This window comes from Homo sapiens, chromosome 9 (assembly GCF_000001405.40).
Source record: "Homo sapiens chromosome 9, GRCh38.p14 Primary Assembly".
In the NCBI taxonomy this organism is placed as follows: domain Eukaryota; kingdom Metazoa; phylum Chordata; class Mammalia; order Primates; family Hominidae; genus Homo; species Homo sapiens.
Genome location: NC_000009.12, coordinates 85971794 through 85984036, shown reverse-complemented (window position 1 = coordinate 85984036; position 12243 = coordinate 85971794). Strand labels below are relative to the sequence as shown.

The 12243-nt window shown below is 36.4% G+C and overlaps 1 protein-coding gene across 7 annotated transcripts in view; it reads right to left on the bottom strand.

The window, feature by feature from the left end:
* The window catches only part of NAA35 (N-alpha-acetyltransferase 35, NatC auxiliary subunit), an 84317-nt gene that overhangs the window by 41426 nt on the left and 30648 nt on the right, over positions 1 to 12243 (bottom strand). For 5 of the 7 annotated variants that reach the window (XM_005252127.5, NM_024635.4, NM_001321881.2 and 2 more), the window contains 5 exons: positions 9004 to 9070; positions 8880 to 8923; positions 7302 to 7352; positions 6591 to 6674; positions 5656 to 5770 (listed from right to left, as the gene is read on the bottom strand). In XM_005252127.5, coding sequence (XP_005252184.1) covers positions 5656 to 5770; positions 6591 to 6674; positions 7302 to 7352; positions 8880 to 8923; positions 9004 to 9070 — 361 coding nt within the window. Of the gene's footprint in view, positions 1 to 5655; positions 5813 to 6590; positions 6675 to 7201; positions 7353 to 8879; positions 8924 to 9003; positions 9071 to 12243 lie in introns of those variants that run through there. The other 2 variants (XM_024447648.2, XM_024447649.2) reach the window with 2 other exon arrangements.

Below are 12243 nucleotides of genomic sequence, written 5' to 3'. Positions count from 1 at the left end.
TTTTTTTTTTTTGCTTCTATTTTCTGATCTATACTTCTGGAACAACTTTTATTAGTTTATCCTTTATATGTTTTATTTACTTACCTTTATTAGATAGTAGACCTTTCTTGACTAAGCCTAGTATAATCTTTATCTTTCCTATTTTTCACCTTTTCATTTTTGGCTCTAAGATTTCTGCAACTTTGTATTCTAAACTTCCTACTTATTTTTGTCATTTCTGCTCTTCTATTTTAAGTTCTGGGATACATGTGCAGAACATGCAGGTTTGTTACATAGGTATACATGTGCCATAGTGGTTTGCTGAGCCATCAACCCATCATCTACATTAGGTATCTCTCTGAATGCTATCCCTCCCCTTGGCCCCCACCCGCCGTGCTCTTCTATTTTCAATCTCAAAGAACATATTCCCCTTTTTTCCTTTCATATAGCATCCTATTTTTGTTTTACATACGTACTGATTTTTCTCATTTCTCTTAAGGTACTTTGTTTGCCTGTTTTATTCTTTCTTTCAGGCTAGAGATTTCCACCCTTAACTATATACTCAGATTTGAAACTAGAGCACATACCAAAAAAAAACCATTAAGAGCACTGTGAATACAGGTCAAGCTTTCAACCAAGCCATTTTATCAAGGGAATTGCTGAAATTAGCATATTTAGAATTTGCTTTTGTTTTTCCCCATCTCTTGGACTTTTCAGATTTCCCTAAGAAGAATCTTCTAAACTCTTAAGTGGAGAGCATGTGCCTGGCTACACTGTTCTGAAGGCCGAGTGGAGCGAGGAGAGGAGCAGATGGGGAATCAAAGTAGGTCACAATAATGACTACTTAACTTTCACTTAACTCTCTCATAATGTGTACCCTTCAACTGGGCCTCATATACCCTCAAGTACAGAATCCCTCTGTCCCCCTCCTCCAGAGAATAAACTTTTAGTATTGTGAGGTTCAGGAATGTCACTCAGCAAAAAGGGGGATGAAATTTCTGCTTCTGAACAGATTATCAACCAGTTCTCATGTTTTCAGCTAAATTTCTCATACCCATTTCCAGAAGTATCTGGCAAACCAATAATGCAGCCTTGAGGAGATCCACTGTATAAACTGGGCTGCCTTTGACTTCCTCTATCAGTGGCTAAAAATAGTTATTTGGAGATAGGTAAGTCAATGTCCTTCTGTTTTCCAGCTTCTAAAATAATTTTGTTGCTATTTTCTCCTTTCCCTGTCTTTTTCATCTTTATCAATTATGCCTTGAAAGAAAAAAATCACTTCTTCATTGCTTGTTTGGAATTTCAGAAAGCAAATACATGTGTTCAACCCACCAAGTTTATTCAGGTATCTTTTAATTTATTTTTAAAAGATGACAAGTCCTCTTGAAACTGTGTGTTAGATTTGAAAATACACTCCCCAAGAGTATCTATTAATTTCAGGCAACATAAATTTAAATATATTATTTCCATTGGCAACTGTTAAAGATGCTCATAATCTAAAGGGTAAACTAGACCCAATTCACAGATAACTATGAGTGAACATGGAAAGAGAAACATATTTTGACAAATAGAACCAGGAAAGTCTCATTGGAGGAGGTGATGTGAACATCATTTTAAAGGATGAGCTAAACTTCCACAGACATATTAAAAAGAACTGTAAAATTCAAGACAGCATAAGCAAAAACAAAGAAAAACATCAGTTTCACTGGATTTTTTTGCTCCTTTCTTCCTTCAACAACAATATAACCCAAGGTCACATCTTTGAATCCAGTAAGTCCCAAGTAAATACCATCTGCTCCCTCAATAAGCACTGAAAATGACTCCAAAATCTGCTTCTCTATCCATTTTCCAGGGCCAAATACTTTACTAGTACAGTGCTCCATGTAACCACGTCAAAAAAATCCCATTATCAGTAAGCTGCCCTCCTTATCCACCTCCAAAACCACTTTTGCATTCTGCATCTTCATAAAGATATTACTATGCATTGAGAAAATGCACCAGCAAGTAATTCTCAGATCAAGTTTGATTATTCCTACTTTCTCCCTTAATGCCAGTTTACAATTCATACTGAATATCTACCTTTCAATGAGAAGCTAAAATGAATGCTCAGTGATTTCAAGATTTACACAGCCATCTTGTCACCAGCTGGAGTTGTAATATAATCAGAAGGCAAAATGAGTAGAGACCAAAACTAATCTATACTATTATTTTCTCATCATTCTTCTACTAGAATAGACATTAAGAAGGCATTAACTTTTTAATTATAGAATCGTACAGCTTATGATTAAGGGATAATTAGAACGTTAAATTATGCCAGCTAAAAGGTATTACCCATACAAGCACAGGGTGAGTACTTGTTAAATTTAAAATTTCACTTGCTTAGTCGTAAGATTACATTTTTAAAAGGTTTATTCAAGCCAATTTTACATAAACAATTTTCCTGAAGCCTGTCAGCACACTATAAAACCAGAGTAATAGAGGAGATCATATGCACAAGCTATTTTTAACACTGGTCTGAAATATAGAAAAGTCACAAGCTGTAGCTACTAATGATCCCACGGAAATTATCATCTCAGAGTTTGATTACAGATACAGAGCAGAATAGCCCAGGAGTAGTCAGACATGGCAAAAAGAAACATCCAGATTCCAATCATCTGGAAGATTCTTGCTTTGCATCATCTTTTTGATACACAAACCAACAAATTACTTTGAAGTCATTTATTATATAGTGGTTTTCATAAAAGTATTATTGCTGTAGATTTCAAAGCATTTCAGAGTTGTGGACATTTTATCCCTCTCTGTAAACATGTACTACTACGTTGCTATGCATAACCACCTCCTTATGTCCTATGGTACAGAATGCTACCTAGTCACTCATCCTATAAACACACTCCCTCTTTTGGAAAAAGTGAAAATGATGATAAATACATACAAAGTCAGCACAACTAGTAGAAACACAAAAATTATGACAATACTGATTTCCTAACCCAAATTACCTTCTGGGTTGCTGTATTACCTAACATTTTAGCACGGAAAGAAAAATATATGGGAAGGGGAACACAATGTCTGTCTCTAAATGGAGGGTAGGTGTGGAAAAGGAATGAGGTGTCGATCAGTAAAAACTTGCCTTTCTGGTTACAAGACTGACAACTGGGTAACACTAATTTGAAGCATATAAATTTCTCTTCCTCTCTACTGGAATGGCCAAGTCGTTGAGGGGCGAAAAAAGGATATAAATGTCATCTCATTTTAATGAGTTTTAAGGACAATCAAAATTGCTACACATTATCTACAATGTTAACCCACTGTAAACTTTACAACAGAGGTACACTATTCTTTTTAAGGCATATTTCATAAATAAAATCTGAGTGCCAACAATATGCCAAGCATGGCAATACACAAGAAGAGAGTGCCTGGCCTAAAAGTGCTCAAAATCTCATGGAAAGACAAATGGGTAAAAAACTAAAATACAAAGTACAAGAAAATGTAACAGAGGCCTGTATGAATGCAGTGAGAACACAGAGGGTGTGACATTATGAAATATATATTTGGTCTTCCTTCTTGTTTCCTAACGTTAACTCCTAAAATCCTTAGACTCTCCGAGTGCTGTCTTTTGATATGCGAATGACTGATAGTTTCAGGGTAGGGCAGATAACCAAAAAGACAGGCATGAGTACAAGGCTGGAACTTTCAGCCCCACCCCACAACTTCCAGGGATGGGAGAGAGGCTGAAGGTCCAGTTGCTCACCAATGGCCAAAGGTTTAATCAATCATGCCTATGTAAGGAAACTTCTGTAAAAATTCAGGAGGACACAGTTCAGAGAGCTTCCAGATATCTGAACATGTGGAGGTTCCTAGGAGATAGTACACCCAGGGAAGGCATGGAAGCTCCGAGACCCTTACCCATACTTCACCCTATGCATTTCTTCATCTGTATCCTTCACATCCTATAGCCTCCACAATAAACCAGTAAACACACCAAGTGTTTCCCAGAGTTCTGTGACTCGCTCCAGCCAATTAGCTGAAACCAAAAAGAGAGTCGTGGGAATCCCAACTTAAAGCCAGTGGGTCAGAAGTTCTGGAAACCCAGACATGGAACTGGTGTTTGGGGAGGAAGAGCAGTCTTGGGGACTGAGCCGTCAACCTGTGGGATCTGGCATTACCTCCGGGTAGATAGTAGAGGTTGGAGTTTGTGTTTTCCACACTACCACAAACACTCCTTCAATGGGAGTTTAATTAGAGGGCATCCAGCTGGTGTGTGTGGAAAAACCTACACAGTTATCACTCAAGTCTTCTGTACTGATGACTGTTGTGGTGGTGTGAGAGCACAGGAAAAATACAGAGTGAAATCTTTTCCAAAACAGGGAGAATATCTAACGCCTGCCTGGTGTTCAGAGTAGACTGTGTGTAAAAAGCAAAGTAGAAGTTCCTCTTCAAAGACTTTCCTCCCCATCTAATTAGGAATAAATAGTAACTTCTCTTAGAAGCAAAATTTATTCAAAAACCTGTGCTAACATTATTAAATATCTGCTAGCCATAATAAATCAATGTACTTTATGTTCTTAGCTCCCAGAATTTAGCCTAAATATTTGCCCTGGCATGCTTTTACTGGTCCAAGCAAGCATTAGGTCATAGCCTGTTCTTCTTTCTTATTTGAAGGAGTTTTTACTTTTCTCAGCATTCCACAAGTTACTTCCTCCTTCCTTTGTTCTCCTCTGCCTTTGCCTCTTTTAAAAAGTTCTAAGTTGCTAGCCAATTGGGACAAATACAGAAATGTAAGGTCCTGTTCCAGCCAATGGAAACCGGACACAGCAGTAGGGTGGACGTGTCAGGTTATAAATGATCCTGTCTCCTTTGCTTAGCGTACTCTCGTGGCAAAACTGCTGGTGAGTGTACCCTTTCTGCAGAAAGTAAAAATGGCCTTGCCAAGGAAATTAAATTTATGTTCAAGTGCTATTTCTTTACAGCACTGGGGAACAATCATTTCTAACATGTGTAATCGAAGTGACAATCTCTCAGACAAAAAAGAGGAGAGGTGATTAAAAAGGTGATTCATTATTATTGAAATGGCCTTTGTAAAAATTATGAGAGAAACCTGACATAGCTGACTCCATCTTGCTTCTAACCTCACAAGCTGTCTTTGCTTATTCCTGGTGTAGGCCAAGCAACTATGGGAGAAATTTAGTTTACAATTTAAATAAAGATGGTAACTGTCCCTTCCTGAAACAAATCTCCTCTCCTTGCTCACCCACTGCCCGCCAAACTATTCTTCAAAAACTCTAGTCCCTGAATTCTCGGGGAGGAAGATTTGAGAAACAGCTGTCATCCTTCCACTTGGCTGACTCATGATAATTAAACTCTTTCTCTGCTGTTCTCATTGCGCTGGCTTTTCTGGGCAGCAAGAAGAAGCTGCCAGACTGTAACATCACAGCATGGACATAAGACAGGATACATATTCCAAGTCTAAATAGTAATATACAGGAAACGGCCAAGTTCTACAGTATTGTTTTTTAGTCTAGTATATATTTACAGAGAAGAGCCTAAACACTGTAAGTCTCTGGATTAAAACATCCCAAGGTACAAGACTGACTTGAAAAAACTTTAGTACAAGCTAAGCACTAAATATTTTGGATAGAAACGAAGAAAAGAAAGAGTAGGAGCAAATTGAACAATTACCTCCTTTTGTAGTATCATTCTGGGCCTGGATGCCATGATGCAATGAATTATGAATGGCAGAAAGAAGATCTGCTGCTTGAACCATCAATTTTTGAGCTTCTGCAACAGCACTGGTCTAGCAAATAAATCACCAAAAACATTCTTACATATTCTTTCACTGAAAGATATACATTAAATAGGAAAATCCTATAAACAATAATGAAATTAAATGCTTGCTGTAATGACATTGGTTTTCATAAACTATGCACTTAATACAGGATGTCCAGATCCTGTTAGGATAGAAAATGGTTTTTTTACTCACATCTATAACTTGTAGGATCAATTAAAATAATAGAAAATATTTTTGGTTTTTTTTTTCACAATAAAAACCAAAGAAGCAATCAACTAGAAAATGAAAAAATTTTCAACAATTCTACCATGTCATTCATCAAGGTAGGAAAAAAAAAATGGGAAGAAATAGAATTACAGAAATTAAATTAGTGGTAAAAATTGGATCCCTATTCACCACTTATAAATTATTCACAAATTAATCTGTAATTGACTTGAATTAGTGCAAAAATACAAAAAGGAAAAAATATTCACCATCTAGGGCTTGCTTTTGGTTCTATACAAACCCAACAGTTAATTATGTAACTGAAGGTAAGACTAGGCCTACCTAAAATTTTACTTTCTCCTTTTCAATTCACAAAATATAACAACCTACAAGTAATTTCAGCTTCTAATGTATTATTTACAAATAAGTAAAAAATAAAACAAAATTCATGTGATTTCTTGAGAAAGTCATCAGTGTTACACTGGTATAAATATACCAAATGCTGAGTTCTGTATATCTGGGATCAGGAGCACTTCAAGGGAGAAGTTTCAGAACTGCTTCACTCAGGAATTCCAGCCAAAATCACTAAAACAAATAGACATATTATATTGAATGCCCTTACCTCTTTCTTAGTAAAGGCTATAAGCACTGTCAGTAACACACGAGTAAATTTCACTCTGCTGAATACTGCTAAACATTGTTGGTGCTAAAAAAACAAGAAAGGACTAAAAGTTAAAAGATGCAAAGCCCGTGAAAGGAATTTCATTTAAAATATATTAACTCCTAAATCTCAATGTTAATAACTTACTACATTACAGGCACCTTCACTTACAGGCTTTTAAAAGCCTGAAAAATGAGCTGCAGAAAACAAAACAAAGCCTATTCTTTTGAAATCGGAATGTGAAGTTTCTATATCAACAGCACTGATCTTGTCCTAAGTCAAAATTTACACTATTACCTCAAAAAACTGATGTTATCTGCATTTTAAAAAGGACTGATTAAAATGTGCTTTAAGCAGAGTCAGAAAATTTAGAATCTCGACAAAGGTTCAGCAACTTTTGATACTGTGGCGCTCTGGTGCATCATCTGTGAAAGATCGTATTTTTCTTCCTACCTCACAGGAATACTGAAGAGTTTTGAAATCATCTATTTGAAAGAGCTGTATTATCATTCTATCAAAATAAATACAAGGGAAATAAAATCCCTTGCAATGTCCAATTTTTAAAGAAATACCTTAAAAAGGGCTTCCATAAATTATAACGCAGTTCATAAAACTACAACATTAACAGGTAGACTTCTCTGATATTATCTACCAGAAAATAAGTTCAATTACTTCTAGTTCAACTTCTGGATCTCTTTCTTCTCCTTGTCGACTTCGAGTACTCTAAAATTTTAAAAAAGGTGAATTAAACACAAACCTGAAAAAATATTACATTACAAATACATAAGGAAAAACACTGATTTTTTAAGTATACACAAGAATCTGTTTTTGGGGAAAATAGTTGGGGAAAAAAAGCCGTGTCTAGTATTTACATTCCTCCTATTAATCCTATACACAGAAAGGTCATTTTGACATAAATTATAAAGATCATGGAAAAGAATTAAGTATTCAAACAGCAAAAGCAAAACAATGAAATAACATAAGCAGAAGTATATGGCACATAGTATATTTTCCTTTAAAAGGAGATATTAATTGAAATTCCTGATGCTCTCAAAACTAACCCTGTTAGAAAAAAACTGTAACCTTCACAAAAATCACATTATGAAAAAATAAAGTTCAATGGTCAATACCGATCCATTTTACACTAAAATACACAATTTCTTAATACAAATGTTATAGTGGACAATTTTATTTGACCAAATACCAGGGTGGTACTACAGGAAGATCTACTAGAAGTTGTGGGTTCTAGCCCTAAAGCTGCCATTTACATGCCCTTTAGTAAAGCTAAGACACAGGTTATTTAACTCCTTTGATCTGTATTTTCCTCATCTAAAAGTGGAGCACTGTGTGTGTCTAACTGCTCAATTCACTGAATTGTAAAAATCAAAAAAAGAGAATATGAAGTTTGACAACCATACTGTCATACTAGTGTTAAAAAAAAAATGTAGAAATATAACTTTTCCCCCATCTCTATGAAAAGCAGCAAATCATCAAGGTCATCTAGAAGGTTTTCACCAGATTTGGGATATCACCACTTACTGAGCTCACCTACTGTGTTCCAGACACTGTACCAGCTATTAAAGATACAAAGGTGAACAAGATAGTCCTTACCTTGAGGAACCCAAAACAGTAGTGGGAGAAAAATACTATTTTTAAAATACCATAGTAAAAATCTAAAACACTGGCAAAAAGTTGAAAGAATCAAGTGGGTTAAATTTTAATATACTCATCTCTCTGTATCCATGGGTTGGATTCAACCAACCGCTGATTGAAAGTATTCAGAAAAAAATTTTAAAATAACATTAAAAAATTCAAATTTTAAAAGTACAGTACAACTATTTACATAGCATTTACATATTAAATATTATAAGTAATCTAGTGATGATTTAAAGTATACAGAAGGACATGAACAGGTTATATGCAAATATCACACCATTGTATATAAGAGACTTGAGCATCCTTGAGTTTTGGTATTCACAGGGGTCCTGGAACCAGTGCCCTGAGAATACTGAGGGATGGCTGTACTTGAAAATGACATTAATTTGTGCTCGCTTCGGCAGCACATATACTAAAATTTGAAAATGACATTAATTTATCAGAAACTCCTCTAGCAGTGTTCAAATTCATTACAAAAAAAAAATACAAAGCACATACAGGAGAAAGGTGGTTCTACACATTTTTAATTAGGTAAAGTTAAACTGACATTTAGAAGTGTACCAAAACCCCACACCAAACAGAAAACATATATACCTTTACTCTTCTTTGCATGTCATCCTCCACATCTTTTAGCATGCCTAGAAAAAGAAACAATAAGTTTTAAAAGGAAACATATGAAAATGTAAAACTTGTGAATTAACTTTAAAAATAATTTTACCTGTAACTCGAAGATCTGTCACACTGTTAGCCATTTTAAATCCATAAGTCATTGACTGAAAATCTTCCTATACAAAAAGGAAATAATCAGGCTCATGAATAGCAAAAAACCTTAAATAGCGGCAAAATATAAAACTTTTCTTTATATTTCTCTTACAAAATCACTATTTAATAAACAAAGAGAAATGGGAGGTCATCCTGCTTGTCTAAATATTGCTAGGATACACACAAGCTTTTCTTGAAGGCATACACTTAAAACACCATATTCAAATGTTGTCTCTGTCCTTACTTTCAATTGCTTGTCCTTAGGCAATTTAATACGTTCACTTGCCATATAAGGGTAATGCTTAAGAAAATATCGCACAGTAATAATTCTCACAAAGTAGTCTCACATTCACAGGTGAACAGTAAATATGTAATAATTACTGTTAAATGACCGTGCTGCAAGATTTAGATAAGACTACTTAAAAAATTATTAAGTGACTGCTTGCACAGTTAAGATTTCTCAAACAGAATTATTCAAAGTGAGAGTAAAACCATGTTCCACTATAGTCCATTGGAAGGAAAAAAACTGAGTCATTCAGACATAGGACCCCCATTCCCCAAATCATTTTTTAAATGATTTCATTGCTGAGTCATTAACAAATTAAGTGATTTGCTGGACTTCCTTTGAAGAAAATACATTTACTGTCATCTGGCTGATTTGATTAACAAGTCATATGCCCCATTAAAAGAGTGTTTCTGCCTACTATAATTCCTATAAAAACATAGCTAGGGGCTGGGCATGGTGGCTCGTGCCTATAATCCCAGCACTTTGGGAGACCGAGGCGGGTGGATTACCTGAGGTCAGGAGTTCACGACCAGCCTGGCCAACATAGTGAAACCCCGTCTATACTAAAAATACAAAAAAATTAGCCAGGCATGGTGGCATGTATCTGTAATCCCAGCTATTTGGGAGGCTGGGGCAGGAGAATCACTTGAACGCAGGAGGTGGAGGCTGCAGTGAGCAGAGATCGAGCCACTGCAATCCAGCCTGGGCGACAGAGTGAGACTCTGCCTCAAAAAAAAAATGTAGATAGAATCCTAAAATAACAGAACAATAGTTTCAAAAGGGGATGGAGCTACAGCACAATTTCTGGATTCTTAAAAAAAAAAACAGTGAGCATCAAATTCAAGTGAGGTACTATACCCCACAAACAGTAAGAAAATAAACCCAATGTCCTTGGTCTCAAAGAACTCAGGTGTATTTTATGACTTACATGATCAAATCCTTAAAAAAAAAAAACACTCATCATATTACAGAGCTATATAAGCTTATTCTCTTTTATAGTCTGTCTCTACTTGGACATCAAACAGGATTCTCAAATTTTACATCTCCAAAAAGGAGCTTGACGCCTACTTCCTAGTGTTTACCATACCACTAAATGGCACTACTACCTATCTAGAGTTGCTCAGGCTGAAAACCTGGCCTCTACTCCTCTCGTTTTTCTACATCCTGTATCAAATCTACCAGAAAACACTGTAGGCTCTATCTTCAGATTCTAGTCTAACTACTTTTCACCCTTTCACAGCTCTCTCTAGTTTAAGTCACCACTATTGCTCACTCTTGTAACCACCTCCAGACAACTCCCCCACCTACCACACTAGTCCCTGCTATAATTTATATACCACCAGAAGGCAGAAGGATTGTCTGAAAATAAGTCACATCATGTCATTTCCTATTCAAAACCTTTCAATAGTTTTCTACCTCATAGCAAAATCCCTAAGTCCACCATGGCCTCTATGGCCCTACATCACATGGCCCGGTCTCCCTCGCCAACTTTATTTCCTACCACTTCACATTCACTGCACTGCAGTCTGACAGGTCTTTCTTGTCATTCAAACATACCAAACACGTTCTCCTCTCACGGCTCCCACACCAAAATGATTTTCTTCAAAATATTTACAAGGTTTCATCCCTTATATTCCAGCCTCTGTTCTAATGTCAATTCCTCAAATAGAGATTTTCCCCATGCATTCTAAGACAGCACCATCCACCATTTTATATCCCCTTAGCCTGCTTTACTTTTCTTCATGGCACTTAATCACCACCTGACATTATATGTGTATTTAATTACATATACATTGACTATCTGTCCCAAGAAAGGTATAATCCATGAGATCACGGCTTTATTTACTACTTCACCTATAGGACTTAGAATAGTGCTAAACAGACTTCTATTCAATAAATATGTGTTCAACGAATGACTTATTCCAGGGCAGGGGTCATGAACTCAAAAGGCAGGTTATCTTCCTAAATACATCTGGCTAGCTACAACATACACTAGGGAATGGTAGAGACTGGCAAATTGGAAAACATATGCTTCATTTAAAAGGAGTCAGCCACTACTTATCCTGTTGTGGCTATGAATGAATACAGGGCCAGTGTGGTCAGGTCTCCTAATTTTTCAGAAAAAAATTTAGGTTTTTCTTTTTCAACATAAAATCTCCACCCCCCGACCCTTTTTTTTTTTTTTTTTTTTTTTGAGACAGGGTCTCACTGTCATCCAGGCTCGAGTGTAGTGACGCAAACTTAGCTCACTGTAACCTCCACCCCGCTCTGGGCTCAAGCAATCCTTCCACCTCAGCCTCCTAGGTAGCTGGGAATACAGGCATGCACCACCACACCGGGCTAAATTTTTTTGTATTTTTAGTAGAGATGAGATCTCGCCATGTTGTCCAGGCTGGTCTCGAACTCCTAAGCTCAAGTGATCCACCCATCTCAGCCTCCCAAAGTGCTGGGATTACAGGTGTGAGCCACCACATCCAGCTTCCTCTTCCTTTTTTAAAAAATCAGACAAACACTGTGGAGGAAAAACAACAAAACAAAAATATCCATAAAACTTATCTGTAAGTTTGCCAAGAAGAGTCTTAGGAAAACTTTCTGGAAGAACATCACAAGTCCTGGGAATATAAACCTCAGTAATAAGAATTTAATCTAAGTTATTGGATAAGTGAGAACAAGAGAGTCATGTAAACAGACTGCTACCATTAAAGATCACTCTTGAAGATTTGTGGACTTGAGGACAGAAGTCAGAGTGAAACTAGGGAGATCAGACATTGGACTCTATCCAACAGTCCAAGCAAGGGCTGATGATGACTTGGATTGGGATTGCAACAGTGGGGAGAGTAAGAAGTTGGTTAAAAAAAAAAAAAAAATCAGGATATATTTCAAAGGTAGAGCTAACATGATATGCTGATG